Source organism: Homo sapiens, chromosome X, assembly GCF_000001405.40.
Source record: "Homo sapiens chromosome X, GRCh38.p14 Primary Assembly".
Taxonomy (NCBI): Eukaryota; Metazoa; Chordata; class Mammalia; order Primates; family Hominidae; genus Homo; species Homo sapiens.
The window spans coordinates 47077097-47099684 of record NC_000023.11 but is presented as its reverse complement, the minus strand read 5'-3'; the positions used below and the strand labels follow the sequence as shown (position 1 = coordinate 47099684).

At 42.7% G+C, this 22588-nt stretch overlaps 1 protein-coding gene and 1 pseudogene across 7 annotated transcripts; both read right to left on the bottom strand.

Annotated features, from left to right (window-relative positions):
• Positions 1 to 6371: 6371 nt before the first annotated feature.
• Positions 6372 to 21242, bottom strand: RGN (regucalcin). Of its 7 annotated transcripts, none has more exons than NM_152869.4 (8): positions 20976 to 21242; positions 18749 to 19368; positions 18378 to 18555; positions 15085 to 15267; positions 9694 to 9909; positions 7876 to 8007; positions 7470 to 7624; positions 6372 to 6788 (listed from the first exon to the last, which is right to left on the bottom strand). In NM_152869.4, exons 3-8 carry the CDS (start codon positions 18538 to 18540, stop codon positions 6738 to 6740), a joined length of 900 nt encoding a protein of 299 aa, NP_690608.1. In that variant the 5' UTR covers positions 18541 to 18555; positions 18749 to 19368; positions 20976 to 21242; the 3' UTR covers positions 6372 to 6737. The 7 variants fall into 7 exon arrangements, with proteins under 7 accessions (NP_690608.1, NP_001269777.1, NP_001269778.1 ...); NM_001282848.2 differs by having other exon boundaries at positions 18378 to 18506; NM_001282849.2 differs by lacking the exon at positions 9694 to 9909.
• On the bottom strand, positions 12073 to 12179 carry RNU6-1189P (RNA, U6 small nuclear 1189, pseudogene; annotated as a pseudogene).
• Positions 21243 to 22588: the final 1346 nt, after the last annotated feature.

The window sequence follows — 22588 nt, the reverse complement described above, 5'->3', positions numbered from 1 at the left end:
TTGCCTTTTGGTAAGTCAGATTGACCAAATGGCCTGCTTTGTGATTTGATAAGATGTTCTGATTTGGGGGTTGACCATAAGTCTGGGTTCACAGGTTGACCAGATGTCTTGATTCAACCAACTGTTCCTTTTAGAAGTTTGGTTGACTAGATGTCCATTTAGATAATTGGCCAAAAAAGACTCAGATAGTGCTGGGCTTTAATGTTTGTCAGGGCGGAGGCTTCCACCACTGGGGAGTGGAGCTAGAGCCTGTGCCCCAATAGATTGAGTTCCCAGGTCCAGGAGTTCCAGAGAGGGCAAGAGAGCCACACTGGGGGCCTTGGATTACCTGTAATTCCTGGTGATCTCCTCCTCAGACTTCTCAGAACACACCACTGTGGCCCCTGGAGCTCCCTGGAACCATTCCACTCCTCTCCCCTCTACCTTGATTGAGAAATGGGCTGGAAGTGACTGGGTTAGGAGGCTAGCCAGTTCTGTTGCGGTGGGGGACGGTTCCCTATTTTAGGCTTCGGATCATCCCTGGTCTTCTGAGGGTCTTCAATAAAGACCTCTATACTCTCTTTGGAGCCTTGGGAACCTCCCTGTGCCAGCCCTGTTGCTCTCTCAATACCCTCTTTTGAGAAATGGGGATGAAAAAGAACCAAGTAGAGATCAGACAACTAGTAGGCCACAGTGAGGGTTGGGGATGGGGAGGAGGAGGCCAGCCTGGACCATCATATCCACCTGGTACCTTGGAGAGCTCCAATGAAATGGCCTTTGTAGGTTAGGGTTGAGCCCAGGAATTCATAAACAACTTTATGACATTGCTTTCCCCAGCTCCTGACCTCATGTGCATGGATTGGATCCTGATTTACATACCAAAGACTGTGAGCTGAGCTAATGCTCCGTCCAAGTCCTAGACTAACTACTGGGTGGTACACAATGGGATGGACCTGAATAACACTGTAAAGTCTGTAAAAACTGAATGGAAAAAAAACCCACACCAACAGAAGGCAGGATGGAACTTGTGGCCTGAACCTAACCGTATAGATTGCATGCTAAAACAAATGTATCAACATTCTTCATATGATTTAAACAAGGCCCATATTATGTATTATGAATACACAATATTCAAAATGGCCAGGATACAATCCAAAATTACTCAGCATGCAAAGAATAATGAAATGCTCAATTCAAATGGGGAACAACAACCAGTAGATGCCAAGAATAAGATGATGCAGATGTTGGAATAATCTGACAAGCACTTTAAAGCAGCTTTATAAAAATGATTGAATGAGCAATCATCCTTGAAACAAATATTAAAATGGAAAGTATTGGAATAGAAAAGAGGAGACATAAAGACTAATCAAATGGAAATTTTGAAACTGAAAGATAAAATTTTAAAAAATCACTGGGTAGGCACAACAGCAGAATAGAGATGACAGAGTGAAGAGCCAGTGAACTTAAAAATAGATCAATAAAAAATATGAAACCTGAGCAACACAGAGAAAAAAAGATTGAAAAACAACAACAGTCTGAGGAACTTGTGGGGTAACAACAAAAAGTCTAATATTCAAGCTATTGGAGTCCCAGAAAGAGAGGAGTGTGGGGCAGAAAAAATATTTGAGGCCGGGTGAAGGCAGTGGCTCAAGCCTGTAATTTCGGCACTACAGAGGGGGCCAAGGCGGGAGGATCATCTGAGCCCATGAGTTTGAGACCAGCCTGAGCAACATAAGGAGACCCTGTCTCTAAAATAATAATAATAATAAAATAAAAAAATAAAATAAAAAAAAAGCTAGGCGTGGTGGCATTTGCCTGTGGTCCCAGCTACTTGGGAGGTTGAGGTGGGAGGATTGCTTGAGCTCAGGAGGTCAAGGCTGCAGTGAGCTGTGATTGTGCCACTGCACTACAGGCCTGGGTGACAGAGCAAGACCCTGTCTCAAAAAATATACATATTTAAAGCAATAATGGCCCCAAACTTTCCAAGTTAGGTGAAGACATAAAGTCAAGAAGATGGGCAAACCCCCAATAGGATAAAGCTAAAGAAATCCACATCCAGACACATAATCAAATTGCTGAAAACTAACGGCAAAATAAAATATCTTGAAAGCAGTGAGAGAAAAATGGCTCATTACCTGTAGGAGAACAGTGATTTCAATGACTATGGATTTCTCATCACAAACCGTGAAGGCCAGTGCTATGGTTTGAGCATACCCACCAAAACTCACATTGGAACCTTAGTTTCCAGTGCAACAATGTTGGCAGATGGTGCCTTTAAGATATGATTAGGTTGTTAAGATACATTAATGTCTTTCTCGTGAGACTAGATTAGTTCTGATGGATTAGTTCTCTCTGAAATGCATTAGCTCCTATGAGAGCGGGTTGTTATAAAGTGAGGTTGTCTCTTGTGTTTGGTTTCTCTGCATGCACCTGCTGCCCCTTTGCCTTCTCTGCTATCTTGTGATGCAGCACGTGGCCCTCACCAGAAGCTAAGCAGATGCCAGCACCATGCTGTTAACCTTTCCAGCCACCAGAGTTGTGAGCCAAATAAATCTCTTTCTTCGTAAGTTACCCAGACCCAGGTATTCTATGATAGCAATACAAAACAGATTCAGACAGACAGAAGGAAATTACACACTTTTAAAGTGCCAAAAGGCTGAAAGAAAAGAACTATTGACCCTGAATTGCATATCCAGTGAAAATAGCCTTCATGTGAAATAAAGACATTCTCATATGAAAGAGTGAAATAAAGACATTCTCATATGAAAGAAAAGAAAACTAAGGGAATTCATAGCCAGGATACCTGTTCTAAAAGAATTGCTAAAGGATACTTGTTCTAAAAGAATTGCTAAAGGAAGTTCCTTTTTTTTTTTTTAAATCGAATTTTCCAGGCTGGAATGCAGTGGTGCGATCTCAGCTCACTGCGACCTCCACTTCCCTCCACTTCCCGGGTTCAGGCCATTCTCCTGCCTCAGCCTCCTGAGTAGCTGGGATTACAGGCTCCCGCCATGATGCCCGGCTAATTTTTGTATTTTTAGTAGAGACAGGGTTTCACCATGTTGGCCAGGCTGGTCTTCAACTCCTGACCTCAGGTGATCCACCTGCCTCGGGCTCCCAAACTGCTGGGATTACAGGCAAGAGCCACCGTTCCCAGCCAGGAAGTTCTGTAAACTATAAAAAGGATACAAGAAGGAAACTTGGAACATCAGGAATGAAGGAAGAAGAACAGGAATGGTAAACATCTTGGTAAATATAATGGACTATTCTCCTTTTGAGTTCTTTAAAACATGTTTGACAGTTCAAAGCAAAAGTTTTTAACACTGATGAGTTTTCAATGTATACAGAATATATAATACACTTGTAACATGAAGGAGAAAGGGTCATGCCTGTAATCCCAACACTTTGGGAGGCCAAGGTCAGGAGTTCGAGACCAGCCTAGTCAACATGGCGAAACCCCATCTCTACTAAAAATACAAAAATTAGCTGGGCTTGGTGGTGGGCACCTGTAATCCCAGCTACTCAGGAGGCTGAGGTGGGAGAATCACTTGAACCCGGGAGGTGGAGGTTGAAGTGAGCTGAGATCACACCACTGCACTCCAGCCTGGGCAACAGAGTGAGAGACTCCATCTCAAAACAAAAACAAAAAACAAATCCAACTTGAATTTCAAAGAACTGAAATAAAAAATATGCTCTCTGACCATAATAGAATTAAATCTGAAATCAATACCCAAAAAGATAATAATAAAATCTCCAATCATTTAGAAATTAAACACACTTCTAAATAATCCATGGGTCAAAGAAAATGTCTCCAAGGAAATTAGAAAATATTTTTAATTTAACAAAAATGAAAATACAATATATCAGACTTTGTGGGCTGCAGAAAGAGCAGTACTGAGAGGAAAATGTATAGCATTAAATGTTATTTTAGAACAGAAGAAATGTCTCAAATCCATAATCTGAGATTCCAATTTAAGAAACTAGAAAAAGAGCAAAATAAATCAGAATAAAGCAGAAGGAAGGAATAACAAAGATAAAAGGATAAATCAATGAAATTGACAACCAAAAAATGAAATCAAAAGCTAGGTCTTTGAAAGATCAATGCAACTGATAAACCTCTAGCAAGACTGACAAAGAAAAAAGACACAAATAACCAATAGCAGGTAAAAAAGGGGATATCACTACAAACCTCTCAGGCATTATTAAAAGGATAATAAGGAAATACTATTAATAACTCTACATACATAAATTTGACAACTTAGATGAAAAGGATCAATTCCTTGGAAGCCGCAAACTAACAGACCTCACCAAAATTAAGTAAGGCAACCAAGTGGCCTTGTCATTATTAAGGAATGTTAAAAAGCTTCTGAAAAAGAAATCTCCGGGTCCAAATGTTTTCGCTGATGAATTTTGCCAAATATTTAAAGAAGAATAATAATTATACATTTTCTTTTCCAGATAGTAGAAGAAGGAATACTTTCCAATTCATTTTATAAGGCCAGAATTACCCTGATGTCAACCACAGACAAAAGATAGTAGCTGCAAAAATCCTCAACAAAATATTAGAAAATGGAATTCAGCAACACATAAAAGTAGTAATATGTCATGACCAAGGGAGGTTTATCTCAGGAATGCAAGAATTGATCATATTAACAGTCTAAAGAAGGAAAACCACATAATCACATTAATACATGCAGAAAAGTAAATGAGAAGGGAACTTCCTCAATTTGAGAAAGGCCATCCACAAAAATACATATAACTAATATCATATTTAATAATAAAAGACTGCATGCTTTTCTCTTGAGATTGGGAACAAGACAAGGCTGTCTACTCTTACTATTTCCATTCAACATAATAGTGGCAATTTTAGCCAGTGTAATAATGCAAGAAAAATAAAAACATACAAACTGGAAAGAAAGAAAGAAAATTGTCTCTATTCACAGAAGACATGATTATACACCCAAAGAATCTCAGAGAAGCTACAGAAATACTCTTAGAACCAATTAGTGAGGTTAGCAAACTCATCAGATACAAAGTCAACCTATAAACGCCAATCACACTTCTATAAACAAGCAATGATCAACTGGAAACAAATCCAAAAAATAATAATAAGGTTGGGTGTGGTGGCTCACGCCTGTAATCCCAGCACTTTGGGAGGCTGAGGTGTGTGGATCGCTTGAATACAGGAGTGCAAGGTTGCAGTGAGCTATGATCGTGCCACTTCACTCTAGCCTGGCCCATAGAGCAAGACCCTGTCTCAAATAATAATAATAATAACATTTACAATAGCTCCCAAAAGTGAAATACTTGGATATAAATCTAACAAAACATGTACAAGATCTGTATGCTGAAACCTACAAAACACTGATGACAAAAATTGAAGAAGGCCTAAATAACGGGAGAGACATGCCCTGTTCATGGATAAGACTCAGAATAGTAAAGAAGTCAATTATCTCCAAATCGTTTTACAGATTTAAAGCAATTTCAGGCCTGGCGCGGTGGCTCATTCCTGTAATCCCAGAGCTTTGGGAAGTCAAGGCGGGAGGATCACCAGGAGTTTGAGGCCAGCCTGGGCAGCATAACAAGACTTCGTCTCTGAAAAGCAAAAAATCCAAAAAACCAACCAACCAAACAAACGAAAAAATGACCATAGTGGCACGCACCTGCAGTCTCAGCCCAGCTACTCGGGAGACTGACGTGGGAGGGTTGCTTCAGCCTGGGAGGTAGAGGCAGCAATGAACCATGATCGTGCCCCTGCACTCCGACCTGGGTGACAGAGTAGATCCTGTCTAAAAAAAAAAAAGCAATTCCAATTAAAAAATTGTAGCTTGATTTCTTTTGTAGATATCGTCAAGCTGATTTGAAAATTTATATGGAAGGTCAAAGGAATTAAAATAGCCAAAACAATTTTGAAAAAGAGCAAAGTTACAGAAATCACACTACCTAATTTTAAGACTAATTTATAGTGACAGAAAGCAGATCAGTGGTTTCCTGGGAGCAGGGGACAGGCAGGCAGAGGGGCTGAAGAAAAGGATTATGACAGGACAAGAAAAGTTTTGGGGTAGTGGATAGATTCATTATCTTGTTTGTGGTGTTGGTTTCATGAATGTATATATGTGACAAATTTGTCAAATTATACACTTTAAATATGTACAGGCCAATTATAACTCAATAAAGCTATTTTTAAAATAAGTATTCTTTCCAAAGAGACATATTACTTTTACATCCAGTAGGTGGCAGCTGGAACCATGGATTTTGACAGCATGTTTGAGTCTAACCCTCCAGCCGTATTTTAGTTTGTAAAATAACATATAGGAGATGAAATATCTATGTAGGTTAGTTAGCATTGTGGTATATTTTATAAGATTGTGATGAAAATAAAAAGGAACATAATAGGTCATTACCAGGTTACTATTTATTGTTCCTTGAAGCTTTAATATAGTTAAGTATGAAATGCAGAATCAAGAAGAGATATGTACCCACCCACCCTGGCAATTTACAAAGAATCAAGAGGCTGATTGACAGTTGAACGATTCTTCGCCCTTCTATAGTACCTTTTACAGAAAGCCTTATAAGTGTGTTATCAAAACCACCTGTCACCCCTTGTTAAAAATGCTCTGCCTTTTAAAAGTTGTAAATTAAAACTTAACGCTGTTAATAAAATCATTGCCTCATTTTTCTTTCTAACTAGATTGAAATTTCAGGCCCAGAATTCTCTAGTTGTCTTCAGAGCTCCCTCTGGCAGGAAAGAAGACCTGTCCTCATCCCGCATAGGAGTAGGGAGCAATTCCTTTGACCCCCAGACCAGTTATCTGTTGAAAAAGAAAAGAGGGAATCTCAGGTGAAAGGTAATTCACAAGTATTCTTCAAAAGCATTTTTATGATTTGTAGTAATATACTTAGCCACCTATTATCTTTGTTTTATCTCCTATCATAAAAAGGAATTACCTGACTGGATATTTATGGTCCAACCCAATTATTCATATAGTTAATAATTCAACTAGCAATCATTTACGACTAACTTAGATTTAAAACTGGATTACTCCTATCATCTGCCGCCTGCTAAGAAAGGGGTTTCTACATTATGTATTTCTTTTCAGCTCAAAAGCTCTACGATTTTTATCAGTGTTTATTCTGCTGCCAAAAGATGTTTAAAATCTGAAAAATCCTTAAGACATCAAAACAATCAACTGATCTTCTAGGCATGTTGTAAATACTGGCTTTCCAAGTTCATTCTACTGATCTGAAGAATTTCAATAAACAGGAAGTAAAAAAATTAATGTACAAAGTAGGCTAAACAGATCATCTTGGACTTCAGATAACTTACTCTCTAGAAAATTGAAATAAAATGTTTTTCAGTCTAGTATGATGAGCTTAACATGCTAAATAGGATTATGCTTTGGAAGTATGCAAAAGTACCAATCACTCAGTTACTTACCCCTGTAAGTATTTGGGATCCCCCACCCCCAAAATAAAAGAAATAGCCATATCACCTTGAAAATTCCACCAGCTTCAGGTTGCCTCAAAAGACCCTCGGGGTCCATCCCATCCCGGGCGCAGGTCACATACATTTCAGAGTAATTCTTCCCTCCAAAGCAGCATGAAGTTGTTTTATCAACAGGCAACTTCACAGTTTGAAGTCTTTTCCCTAGACCACCAAATATTTTATTTTAAGTTTAGTTGTAGCAATTTCCAACCTGTGTATTGTTTCTAGGGAAGATCTAAGAAGACTGTGGAGGTCAGGATTCATCTGTGCATTTAATATTTAATCTACTTTCCCTGACAATTTATTTTGAGCAAAAAGTCGCACCTCTACAGGAAAAGAAATTCTGACTGTAACTTTCGGGCTATATCTCTGCCTAGCCATGACAAGGATTTTTCATTTTGCTGCAGGCCTACCTGTCACAGGATCTAAACGAATCACTCTTCCTCCATTGTAACAGGCCACCCAGAGCTTCCCCTCAGCATCAATACACATTCCATCTGGGATTTGTTCTTCCTTTTCTAGCTTGTAAACACTTCTGCGGTTGGCTATGGTTAAAAGGCAAAAACAAAAACAGAACCACAACAAAACAACAGGCCACTAAATACTGAGAATCAAACCGAGAGCTCTCAAGCTGGTTATAAATACAGATCACTTCAGCTTATCCAGTGTCTGGCATGTGAACAAAGGATTTTTACCACATGATTGGGATGGATTCATTGTCTTTTGTTTGGGTACAGGCATATCTGTTTAAGCATTCAGATGGAGAGAGAAAAAAGAAAGCAGAATTCTTACTAAAATACCAATAATACTTCTTTTTGAAGCTGACCTGAACTGGGGCCCTGCATGTCTATGTCAAGTACATGTCAGCTTGTGGTTAGACCTTTGCTGTTTCAGTTACAAAACTCTTGAGATCCGCAAGGCAACTTAATGGTACCACGTGAACAGTTCATGCACAAAAACTAGCAAGATACATGAATTCTTTTTCTGCCTGACTGAGTGCTCCAAATTCAAGACTAAATATTAGAAGAGCCTGTTTCTTGCAGGAGGGGCACTCAGAAACAAACTAGGTGCCCTTAAAGGGGGGTAACCGTGGTATACAAAAAACAAATATCAAAATCCAAAACTTTATACTACAAAGTCCAGGTCACTACAGTCATTAGATTGAGGTATAATGGAAAAATGTTAAAACCACATACAATGACAATGGGTAAAAACTGTCATAAAAAAGAGCACTACATCTTTCTTTCTTTCTTTCTTTCTTTCTTTCTTTCTTTCTTTCTTTCTTTCTTTCTTTCTTTCTTTCTTTCCTTCTTCTTTCTTTCTTTCTTTCTTCTTCTTTTCTTTCTTTCTTTCTTTTTTTTTTGACAGTGTCTCGCTCTGTCGTCAGGCAGGAGTACAGTGGCGCGATCTCGGCTCACTGCAACCCCTGCCTCCCGGGTTCAAGCGATTCTCCTGCTTCAGCCTCCCGAGCACTACATATTTCAAAGCAAAACATCTGCACCAGAATAGTTTGCCTCTGATTAAATCTGCATGCAGAGTTCTGGGGATATTTTTTCCAAGTCATTTTTATTATTAATGTTGCTCTTTTGTTTCATAAAAGGTTTGGCACCTTTCATGAAACAGTTTCAAGGACTCCCTTCTAGATTCTAAATAATTCCTTCCCTCCCAGTTTCCAACTATGGCTCCTTTCAAGCGTATTGATGGAGTTGGACAACGTGCAATTACTTTTTTTTTTTGCTTTTCCATTTTGAAAGGTTGGTAATTAGCTTCTGAGTACTTGCCTATGGTTAACTAAAGTACAAACAAGAAATAGCAATCAAAAACCTCAAGTTTTCTGCTCTTTTGCGCCAATACTCCATTAAGTATTATCTGCCTTTAGGCACCTCCTGGTAGAATAGGATCTCTTTTGCAGTGAACCTCTTTCTGGTGATGATGGCAAGGAAAAGGATTGAGAATCTACCCATATTTGTATTAATTATTTTTTATTAGCTTCCCCAGATCTATCCATATTATGCCAAACTCTTGCCATATTTAAATATGTTGAGGACCATGATTTGATTGGCAGCACAGTCAAGTCTGTGCTGTCGTTACTATATTAGAATAGTAGCATCAGAAAGCTCTCCATTTAAGTGAAGACTTCTTCACATGAGGCGAGGGAGAGGCGCCTTACTAGTCACAAACATATGAAAACAATAGTGGCAGCACTGAGACAAATAATGAAAAATACATACAGATCTGTCCTGTCTGCAGGTCATAGTCAAAGGCATCCACGGAGTAGGACAGGCTGTCAATGTAATAGAAGATTTTGTGGTCTAGCGACCAATCCAAACCATTGGAAATGTCCACCTGGTCAAAGTACTTTTTCACGTGGTGATCAGGAAAGAGGGAGTACAGGGCCCCCTGGTGCCGCTCAAGAACTGCTGGAGCTGTTTCCTCAGCCATGGTGCCTACAAAAACCAAAGAGCACTGAGCTCTGCCCCATAGCATCTTACCCCATGCACGACACCATCCTTTCTCACCAGGGATCCTTTCCAGTGATTAAATCAAAGGAAATCACTATACAATTCCAATCTGGGCCATATATATATATGTGTGTGTGTGTGTGTGTGTGTGTGTGTGTGTGTATATATATATATATATATAAAGTATATATAATATGTATATATAAGTGTATATAATATGTATATATATGAGTATATATAATATGTATATATAAGTATATATAATATGTATATATAAGTATATATAATATATGTATATATAATTTTATATTATATTTATATAATATAATATTATATAAATTATATTATATGATTATATATTATATTATATTATAATTATATAATATAATTTTATATTATATATACTTATATATATATAAAATGACAATTATCTTGCATATAATGCAAATTAAAACTGTGCCTAGAAGTTCTGGTTCAAGATAAGAAGGAGTAAACATGCACGAACCTCATTTTCTCCCACTGAGCACAGCTATAAAACCTGGATAAAATACATGGCACAGCCATCTTGGAACTCTGAAAAGCCTGGTTGCCCAGGCTGGAGTGCAGTAATGCAGTCTCGGCTCATGCAGCCTCCACCTCCCCCAGGCTCAGGTGATTCTCCTACCTCAGCCTCCCGAGTAGCTCAAGCAGCTCAAGCAATCCACCTGCCTTGGCCTCCAAAGTGCTGGGGTCACAGGCATGAGCTGCCATGCCAAGCCTCCTCCTTCTCCTTCTCCGTCTCCTTCTTCTTCTATCTTCTTCTTCTTCTTCTTCTTTTTTTTTTTTTTTTGGCAGAGTGTTGCTCTGTTGCCCAGGCTGGAGTGCAGTGGCGTGATCACAGCTCATTGCAGCCTCAACCTCCCGGACTGAAGCATTCCTCCCACCTCCGCCTCTGAGCAGCTGGGACTATGGGAGTAAGCCACCATGCCTGGCTCATTTGTTTTATTTTTTTTGTAGAGACGGGGTTTCACTGTGTTGCCCAGGCTGGTCTCAGACTCCCGAGCTCAAGTGATCTACTTGCCTCGGCCTCCCAAAGTGCTGGGATTATAGGCTTGAGCCACCGCGCCCGGCCAAAGGATTTCAACAAGACTCAGGGCCTCATAATATTCAAAATGTCTAGAACACAACCCCAGATTACTTGGCAACACAAAGAAACATGGAAATCTCAACTCACATAGGAGAAGAGAATCAACAGATGCCGAAAATGAGATGGCACAGATGCCAGAGACAATGTAGATGGGAAGCCTGAATAGCAAGCAAGACAGGGTCGATCCTCCCTCCCTGGGGAGAAGGATGTTCCCTCGGCAGTTTCCTGCTCTAGGGCAGTTGGGTTTATTTCATGACTCTCCCTGCACATTATCTGCCTCACAGAAAAAGAGGCCTGGAACATGCATGTGAATCTCCTGCTGCTTGGAAAGCCTCTTCCTTGGTGGATAGAATAATCTAGAGCCCTGGCTTCATTATCTAGTAACAAGCATAGACAGGTCAGATCTTGGGTGTGGTGATATATTCAGGGTGCGATCACCTTGAGAATCCATCTAGACTATAAGATAACCCCACCTTTTTCTGGGCCTGGGGCACCTCCGAGCACCTGCCAAGAGCTATGACCTCTCTTGAGAAAGAGTCTCAGGTGCTTCTGGCAGATGCATAGCACTAGTATATACCTAACAGGTATATACTAGTGTACTAGTGTTATGCATCTGCCAGAATACTACAGTATTATATTATAATTATATATAATATAATATTATATATTAATATAATATATATAGTTGTATTATATATTATATAATATATAATTATATTTATATATAATATGATTATATTATATATGCTTATATAATTATAATACTATATTATAATATATAATTTAAAATTATATATGATAATACATAAAGTAAAACTATATATTATTATAAGTATAATATTATAGTATTGGTATTAGTACTATAGAATACTATAGTAATACCTAATAGTTACACCTACAATGACACCTGCAATTTTAAGAGGTCTCCTGATGGCCCAGAGACTCCATGCTTAGAATGGAGGCCTTGGAGGCCATCTTTATTTTTGTCTCACAGAGTGCCTCAGAACTGTAAACTTTGTAAGAAAAATATGGAGCTCTTCATGCATTTGCATGTCATCCTTGTGCAGAGGCCATGCTAATCTTCTCTCTATCGTTCCAACTTTAGTAGATGTGCTGCTGAAGCGAGCACAGAACTGTCAACTTCTACTTAAAAGAAGGAGAGAAAATCAATTTCACCAGGAGGTGAAATATCCAATCACATATCTTTATCTTGCAGAAATTACTGCAGAAGGGCTTCCAACAGATTCTCATCTTTAATCTTTCAACCTGTCCCGGACCATATCTGTGGTTGTATAAAGTCCAGGAAGATGGGAAGCAGTCTACAGTCAGCTGCTCTGACCTCTCCTGCCTTCCATATTGAAGTTGCACAGGGCCAGGACAGCAGGGCCAACAATGTGAGGCGGCAGTGTGGGAAGGTGGGAATAGTAGAGATGGAGAATCAACTTCGGCTAACTCAGAAGGTTATTATGATGAGAAATATATGTGAAGTGCAGTATCTAATTTAAAACTGTAGATAAAATTCTTTTAAACCTGCATGTAAGTCATTCTGCAACCATCATAGTAAACTTTGGTTCAAGAAAGAATCATCAATGAATGTAAAACTTAAGGAAGAAATTTTGATGAGGACCAGGATATTTGTGTGGACTTAGAGTATCTCCCCATGTTGTAGCCAGCCTCCAAGATAGCCCCTAATGATTCCCACCTTTCAGCATTCTCACCCTTGGATAGTTCCCTCTGTCATTGTCTGTGTGACCAATAGCATATGGCATAAGTGATGGTATGTCACTTCCGATTGGTTAAAGACTGTAGCTTGCATCTTGGATCTTGGGTGCATGCGTTCTCTCTCTCTTTCTCTCTCTCTCTCTCTCTCTCTCTCTCTCTCTCTCTCTCTCTCTCTCTCCTGTTATCACTGGTTCTAGGGGCAGCCATGTCCTGAGCAGCCCTGTGGAGAGACCCACCAGCTAAGGAACTGAAGCCTCCTGCCAACCCCTATGTGAATGAGCTTGGAAGTGGATCTTTCAGACCTCTGCAGAGAATCCAGCCTTTTCCGAGGCTGCAGCCCCTGTGGAAAGCTTGACTACAGTCTTATGAGATAGCCTGAACTGGATCCATCCAGCTAAGCTGCACCCAGATTCTTGACCTTCAGAAACCATCTGAGATAATAAATATTTCTTATTTTAAGCCTCTAAGTTTCAGGGTAATTTGTTATCCAGCAATAGATAACTAACAACCCCCACAAATTGCTTATAAATTGCATTAAAAATAGTTATTCAGTAGAGAAATCTGACAGGGCCTTAACCTGGTGATCAAAATCACTAACGAGGGGACACACGGACATCGTGTACCTCCAGATGGGTTACCCTGAGAACAGAACATTATCTATGCGGTATTCCAGTCAGGAATGTATAACATCAACTTAATCACAAACAAACACTAGACAAATACTAAATAAGGAATGCCCTATTAAAAAAGGGGGAGTTGGGTAGGCCTGGCTGTATTCTTCAAAAATGGCAATGTTATAAAAAACAAACAAAAAAAGCTATGAAAATGTTCCAGTTTTAAAAAAGATCAAAGAGATATGAAAAGGAAATGCAATCCATGAGCCTAGACTGCATCCTGTGCTGGAGGGAAAAATGTGAGAAAGAACACTTTTTGTACAATTGACAAAACTGGGATTTAGATAGTATATCAGATAAAATGACTGTGTCAATGCTAAACTTCTCTAAGTTGATCACTGTAACTGTGGTCATGTAAGAATATGTCGTCTTTCTTGGGAAATTCACACTGCAGCATTTTAGGGGTAAAGGCACATAGGATATACATGCAACCTACTCTCACATGATTCTGGAGATAGGCCAGGTGCAGTGGCTCACACCTGTAATCCCAGCACTTGGGAGGAAGAGGTGTGAGGATCACTTGAGCTCAGGAGTTTGAGACCAGCCTGGGCAACATAGTGAGATCTCATCTCTATTTTTTTTTTAAATAAAGGACTCTGGAGATAAAGATGTTTAGATATATACAGACAGCAAATGATAAAGCAAATGGAACAAAATGTTAGCAATAGGTGAACCCGGGTAAAAGGTATACAAGTGTTGTTTGTACTATTCTTTTTTTTTTTGAGATGGAGTCTCGCTCTATTGCCCAGGCTGGAGTGCAGTGGTGCGACCACAGCTTACTGCAAGCTCCACCTCCCAGGTGCATGCCATTCTCCTGCCTCAGCCTCCCGAGTAGCTGGGACTACAGGCGCCCACCACGCCCGGCTAATTTTTTGTATTTTTAGTAGAGACGGGGTTTCACCGTGTTAGCCAGGATGGTCTCAAATCTCCTGACCTCGTGATCTGCCCGCCTCGGCCTTCCCAAAGTGCTGGGATTACAGGCGTGAGCCACCACGCCTGGCCTGTACTATTCTTATTTTTCTCTGTAAATTTGAAAATATTTCTGATTTAAACATCAACAACAAAACCCCTGTATTTAAAACTCATTTAAACCACCAAAATACCATACAGATTTTAGTCTCTGCTAGAGATGGAAATGCAAATGAAGATTTTATCATAGAATTTTTTTTTTGTCCTACAACTTACTCAGGCAATAATAAAAGAAGAACCCAAGATTCATTATAAATAACACTTTTGAGGTAGTGAGAACTAACTAACTTACTTACTTTCTTTCTTTCTTTTTTCGAGACCGGGTCTCACTCTGTCACCCAGGTTAGAGTGCAGTGGCACGATCTTGGCTCACTGCAGCCTCAAACTCCTGGGCTCAGATGATCCTTCCAACTCAGCCTCCTGAGTAGCTGGGAACACAGATGCATGCCACCAGGCCCAGCTAATTTTTTGTATTTTTGGTAGAGACAGGGTTTCACTATGTTGCCCAGGCAGTTATCGAACTCCTGGGCTCATGCGACCTACTCGCCTTGGCTCCCAAAGTGCTGGATTACAGGCGGGAGCCACCACCCTGGTCAGTAGTGAGAACTTTGTATGTCAAAGTATTTCCTCCAAGGCTCAGTAATAAGTAGGTGTTAAGAGAAATCTTACCAGCAAAGTACCTCCCGGCGGGATCCACCTTCCCATCATTGAAGCGATTGTTTTTCTTGTCGTTATCCACCGTGGCCAAGACAACTGCTGATTGTTCTTTCCAGTTCAAAGCACAGAACTTTGTTCCAATGGTGGCAACATAGCCTCCCGACTGGCGAAGAGCCACGGAGCTGACTGGGGCATCTGTAGAGGTAAAGCAACAGTTAAAAAACAGTACCAGTTTAGTGGCTGAGGCCACTGAGATCACTGTGCTACCTGGCATCTCTTAGAGCGGGAGCCCAGCTCTCGTGACAATGGGAGCGCTCTCTTCCTTCTGTTGAGTAGGGAAGGCTATGTAACCTAGTACATTTGTTGAGTATGAATTTTGTGTGCTGATCTGGGCAGCAATAGATAGAAATGTGAAAAAAACCCAACTCCTCTGGAAGCTCCCAGTCTTGTGGGAAAAGCAGAGAAGTGAAAGCCCAGTGGCCATGATATGGGGCAGGTGCCACATCCAGTTCAGAGGAGGAGTTTCTAATCTAGGGGCACCAGGACAGTCATCACAGAGCGAGTGATGCCCCATTTTGCCAGAAAATGCTCCAGAAAATTCAGAGACACAAACCGAGTTTATTTACAGCAACTAGGTTTTGTGACATCTCTCTCCCTCTCCAATCCAGGATTTGCATTTTTTTTTTTGTTTGTTTTGTTTGAGACAGAGTTTTGCTCTTGTTTCCCAGGCTGGAGTGCAATGGTGCAATCTCAACTCACTGCAACCTCTGCCTCCTGGGTTCAAGCAATTCTCCTGCCTCAGCCTCCTGAGTAGCTGGGATTACAGGCATGCACCACGCCTAGCTAATTTTTATTTGTATTTTTAGTAGAGATGGGGTTTCACCATGTTGGCCAGGCTGATTTCGAACTCCTGACCTCAGGTGATCCACCCGCCTTGGCCTCACAAAGTGTTGGGATATTAGGCGTGAGCCACCACGCCAGGCCCAGGATTCGTCTTTTCTAAGGGGCCCTATTTTATATGTATTTAATTGCAAATTGTTTCTCAGATCCTTTTTTGGAAGTAAGCATGGTAAAAAATAATAAACAGATAGGAATGTAGATGCAGAGATAGTACAATCACATCTCTTCATTATATTACTACATTTTATGTTTTTAAATTTTAGGTTTTCTTCATTTAATATTTTTCCATGTATAAGAAAACTTTTTTTTTTTTTGAGATGGAGTCTTGCTCTGTTGCCCAGGCTGGAGTGCAGTGTCGTGATCTTGACTCACTGCAACCTCCGCCTCCCAGGTTCAAAGGATTCTCCTGCCTCAGCCTCCCTAGTAGCTGGGACTACAGGCTGTGCTACCATGCCTGGCTAATTTTTGTATTTTTAGTAGAGACACGGTTTCACCATGATGGTCAGGCTGGTCTTGAACTCCTGGCCTCAAGTGATCCACCCACCTCAGCCTCCCAAAAGTGTTGAGATTACAGGCATGAGCTACTGCACCCGGCCAAGAAAGCTTTTTTTTTAAATTTATTTTATTTTTTTAAGTGGAGAGATTGATTGCTGTGGTGAATGGTCACAGGAAATAAATTTATCAGAATAGATTTTGAAAGCATTTCCTAAGCACCCCTTCAGTGTAAGATAATGGGAGCTTCAGGAGCCACCCTTAGCTCAAAGCCCTGCTCACACTTTGATTGGAGCCATCAAGGGTCCCAAGGAATGTGTAGGACACACTCTCATTGGGGATCCCAACCTGCAGCCTGAGACTTCTCTTGGTAGCTCTCTAAGCTACTGCTGACACCACAGCTTTTTCCATGGGTTGGGGGCGGGTGGTGGTGGGGGCGGGCTTTTCAGATCACAGGTTGGCATGTGTGTCTGCTGCAAAAGAGACTAGAAAAGGCAAGGGGACCCCATCCCCATTCTACCCTCAGAGGTCACAGTCACTTTACCACAGTCATACTTCTGGGTGAATTAAAAATTTGTTCCCTTTCATTTAAAAATAAAGAAGTTTAAGGCTGGGCGTGGTGGCCCACACCTGTAATCTCAGCACTTTGGGAGGCCAAGGCAGGAGGATTGCTTGAGCCCAAGAGTTCAAGACCAGCCTGGGCAATATAGGGAGACCCTGTCTCTACAAAAAATAAATAAAAATTAGCTAGGTGTGGTGGCACATGCCTGTGGTTCCAGCTACTCAGGAAGCTAAGGTGGGAGGATCGCTTGAGCCTGGGAGATTGAGGCTGTAGTAAGCCATGTTTGCATTATTGCACTCCAGCCTGGGTGGCAGAGCCAGACCTTGTCTCAAAAAAAAAAAAAAAAAAAAAAAAAGTTGAGGTCCCAGTTCTGGGTTGAGAAAGAATGTCCCAAGATTATAGGAATTCCTGATATTTTTTCCCATGGGCTCAGTGAAAACAAGAAACTTCTTTCTCTATCAGTAATTACATTAAGCCTATTCCCTTGGGCCATAGAAAGTGATAAATCCCTTCTTTAGAATTCGCAGGGCCATAAACGCATCACACTCAAATGCACATGAAATTCCATCATGAATTCTATTTTGTGCAGTAAACAAAGACGGTCCTGGTTGATGCTTTATACATCCAAAAGCTAGTTTTCACTTTCAAGGAAGAGAGGCACCTGTTTTTGTTTTGTTTTGTTTTGTTTGAAAATTAAGGTCTTGGCCTGACCCAAGGCAGATAACTGGGTCTTTAACTTTCCATGGTTATCTGAAGGTATTAAGGAAAGACAGGAACTAGAGTGCCCCAGCATCCAAACAAAACTGGGAATGGGCTGGGCGTGGTAGCTCACGCTTGTAATCCCAACACTTTGGGAGGTCGAAGTGGGTGGATCTCTTGAGCCCAGGAGTTTGAGACTAGCCTGGGCAACATGGTGAAACACCATCTCTACAAAAAATACAAACTAGCTGGACATAGTGGCACGCACCTGTAGTCACAGCTACTAGGGAGGCTGAGGCAGGAGGATCCCTTGAGCCCCAGGAGATCAAGGCTGCAGTGAGCCGTGATCACACCATGGCACTCCAGCCAGGGCAACACGGTGAGACCCTGTCTCAACAAAAACAAAACAAAAAATAAACAAAAACACCCCCCCCCCCAAAAAAAAACTAGGAATGTTGCCCCTCATTCAAAGAGGAAGAGGAAAGTATTGACCATCCATAATTAAACCCTGGGTCAAAGTGGGAGGATATGGAGTGGGGACAGACAGCGTGACAAGTGTAGTCAGTGTGCTTTAACAAGAAGGGTGCCGTGGTGACCGCCCCTCCCCTGGGAAAAGGTAGCTGGCTGATCTGAGTCCAGCCTTCATCCTTACCCATGGTCACTCGCTGTACTTGCTTGGTGAATGAATCCCACCGGCAAACCTTTTTTGCAGGAATGTCTACAAAGAGCAGAGAGTTGGACACTTCCTCCCATACTGGAGACTCACCACACCGGCAGTTCTCTGGCAAAACACACTCAATCTTAATGGAAGACATGGTCGCAGGGGAGATCTATTGAAGGTAACAGAGGTGAGTGAAAGGTCATCGCACAGAACAAATACAGTAAAACACCTGGCTAAGAACTGGCAAGGCTGGATACACTTCCCCCAGATCAGAGCAGGATATGCAATGTGACAGGGAGAGACACATAGGCAAAAGAAAAGAGCTGATAACAGGGACCATGAAACATCTTCAACCAACTTACCAGTGACGTGTTTCTCGAATGATCTTTCAAAAAGAAAACAAAAAAGTGACACTCTGACCTCCACTCCTTGGTGTTTGTGACCCTCAGAGAACTGGCTGTTGAAATAGTGCAAGGCCGTCCTTTATGTCAATACCCTGGGCCCCAGGGCGGGTCAGGGAGCTGGCAGTTTGCTCATTGGTGGCCCCTCTGGGTGTCTGCAGGGCACCTTCTGCTCCCCCACCTTCTGTTGATGCTGTTGAGCCCCTCTATGAGGGTGCAGAGGCCAGGGCCCGCCACACCTGCATTTTTCTGAGCTGCTTTACTGATTTATTTATTTTTCTTCTCTGTGTGGTTGATTTTTATGAACTGCATTTTTAGGACTATGTTCACCCCAATGAGAACTCGCTGAATTCGAACTAACACACATTTTCCAACGCAGACCATGGAAGGAGTGGAGAAAAGGACAGCATCGAACCACCCTGGCAGGAACTGACAGGCCCTCAGTGATTTCTTGCTTCCCAGGAAGACACCGTGCCAGTTTGGCAAAGAGTGTTAGACTCCACAGGAGAGGAACAGTCTATGCTGGGACTTTAGGCCAGAGACCATGACCAGCGAACTGGGAGAAGACAGAGAAAAATTATCTGAAAAGGAGAAAAAATCAGATAAGAATCCCATGTGGGAGAGGAAAGACAGGCAACTTTCAAGAGCAATCTTTTCTTTCTGTACCTCTGCCCTGAGTAGGCGGTTTCCAGGAATGATCCACACTGCCTGCATTTGTCAGGCACAGGGGCTCAGGCCTGTAATCCCAGCTCTTTAGGAGGCTGAGGCAGGAAGATTGCTTGGGCCCAGGAGTCTGGGACTGGTGTGGGCAACATAGTGAGACCCTGACTCTACAAAACAACAAAAAATTAGCGGGTGTAGTGGCACATGCCTGTGGTCCTAGCTACTCGGGAGCCTGAGGTGGGAGGATCATTTGAGTTCAGGAGGTGGAGGCTGCAATGAGCCGTGATCATGCCACTGCACTCCAGCCTGGGCAACAGAGCGAGAACCTGTCTCTAAATAAATAAATAAAAATGGCCTGCATCTTCATCCTTCTCCCAGGGTAGCTATCTGCTTTGAAGTAAGTGGTCCTACACATGATGGGCAAATGAATAGAGAGGGAAAAAAGAAAAATAATGTTTGATCTAATATTTCCTTCAATAAACTACATTTTAAAAAAGAAACACAGGCCGGGCATGGTGGCTCATGCCTGTAATCTCAGCACTTTGGGAGGCCGAGCTGGGTGGATCATGAGGTCAGGAGTTCAAGACCAGCCTGACCAACATGGTGAAACCCCATCTCTACTAAAAATACAAAAAAATTGGCTGGGCACAGTGGCGGGTGCCTGTAATCCCAGCGACTCATGAGGCTGAAGCAGGAGAATCGTTTGAACCCGGGAGGCAGAGGTTGCAGTGAGCCGAGATTGCGCCACTGCATTCTAGCCTGAGCGACAGAGTAAGACTCCGTCTCAAAAAAAAAACCAAAAAAACAAAAAAACAAAACAAAACAAAACAAAAACAGAAACCAAACCAAACCAAACCAAAACAAAACAAAAAAAAAAACAAACAAAAAAACCTCAGCCCAAACTGGTCCCAAATACAAACTGCCTGCATCTGCAGCAGCATTTGAAATGTTTTTTGGCTATTAAAAATGGGCTCAGGCCGGTGCTGGTGGCTCGTGCCTGTAATTCCAGCACTTTGGGAGGCTGAGGTGGGAGGAACATTGAGGTCAGGAGTTTGAGACCAGCCTGGGCAACATGGTGAAAGCCCGTCTCTACAAAAAATACAAAAAATTAGCCGGGCTTAGTGGTTCGAGCCTGTGGTCCTAGCTACTAGGAAGGCTGAGGCCGGAGAATCGCTTGAACCTGGGAGGAGGAGGTTGCAGTGAGCTGAGATTGGGCCATGGCGCTCCAGCCTGGGCGACAGACTGAGACCTTGTCTCGGAAAAAAAAAAAAAAAAAAAAGCGGGGGTGGGGGGCAGTGTTCAGACTACAAAGGCCTTCATCCTATCAGTCTTAGATAAGGCTCAAGAGCAGTGGCACGACTTTTGCAATAGCGACTTTTAACCCCATGCTCCCTAGTAGAAGCCGGTGGGGAGGGGACGGGGGTGCCAAATGTTCCATTTAGGCCCGGCCCGTGACCACAAAGGGGTGGCTGGGCAGCAGGGAGCGGGGACGGGGCTTCAGGTGCCCGCGCTGCACCCGGGGTACCTGTGCGGGTGAGAGGCCTCCACAACAATCTGGTAGAGCCGCTGGGACCTCGGGCGACGGCGACGGCGACAGCGACAGAGAGGCCCTGGGAATCTGAAGGTTGAGCCTGCCTCCTCCCTGGCGCAGGCTTTGCAGAGGGCGCACCAGCCAGCCCGGCTGAACGGGCCCGGGTCCCCGGGTGGGCACAGAGCAGTCAGTCTCCTGGCGCGATCTCCTTCTGGCAGTCAGCTGTCAGTCGCCTTCTGGGAGATCGGGATGAGCGGGTCTGGCTCTGTTGTCGCCGGGGCCTTTCCTTTCCAGGGAGGGGGCGGGGAGGCCGGCCTGGCTCGGGCACTCGCCAGGATGGAGATTTCTCAGGCGGCTCGAAGGTCAGGCAGCGGGCCGAGGGGAGGGGAAACGCCTCCCGGGACCCGGCGGCTTGGCAGGTGGATGGCATGGGCCTGGGACCCCGCCCCGTCCCCGTCCCCGTCCCCCGCGGCTGGAAGAATCCTGCAAAGCCGCCCCTGGCAGGCCCGGGGATGGTGGGTACAGGCTTACGGCCCAGTGAACCTGAGCTTTGGAGTTTGGACGAATAGCTAGTTTACCTCTTACTTCAACCAAGAAAAGTTGTTAAATGCCGAACAGAGAGAGACTGGGACGGTTAAACCCAAACAGGTTAAAAAGGAAAGAACAAAGCTCCTCTCCATCCTAGTGGAGAAGACCCTGGTGGCTGAAGGCCAACTCTTGCAAAAACGTTTTTGGTGGGGGAAGAGGAAAGGCTCGATTTCATTTTCAAATCATATGGAAAACACATTCCTCAACAACACAGCTCCACAACCCCATTCTCAGCCTAAATGTATTCCTGGTCCTGCCATCTGACAGTCTGGGCTTTCTCCAAATAACCCATATTAAAAAAAAAAATGGCCAGGGCCGGCACAGTGGCTCAGGCCTATAATCTCAGTGCTTTGGGAGGCCGAGGAGGGTGGATCGCTTGAGCCCAGGAGTTTGAGATGAACCTGGCAACAAAGTGAGACTTCGTCTCTACTAAAAATTTAAAAAAACCCAAAAAACAACAAAACAAAACAAAACAAAACAAAACTGGCCAAGTGTGGTGGCTCATGCCTGTAATCCCAGCATTTTGGGAGGCTGAGGCAGGCAGATCACCTAAGGTCAGGAGTTTGAGACCAGCCTGACCAACATGGTGAAACCCCGTCTCTACTAAAAATACAAAATTAGCCGGGCGTGGTGGCACATGCCTGTAATCCCAGCTACTCGGGAGGCTGAGACAGGAGAATTGCTTGAATCCGGGAGGCGGAGGTTGCAGTGAGCTGAAATTGTGCCATTGCACTCCAGCCTGGGCAACAAGAGTGAAACTACTTCTCAAACATATATATGTATTTCTGGGTGTGGTGGTGCATGCCTATAGTTCCGGCTACTCAGGAGGCTGAGGCAAGAGGATCACTTGAGTCCAGGAGGTTGAAGCTACAGTGAGCTGAGTTTATGCCACTGCACTCCAGCCTGGGTGACAGAGTGAGACTGTCTCAAAAACAAACAAACAAAAATAACTCTCTTCCTCTACTTCCTCAGTGCTGATGTCTCCCTAACCTTATCTCAGCCCAGATGTCGCCCCCAGG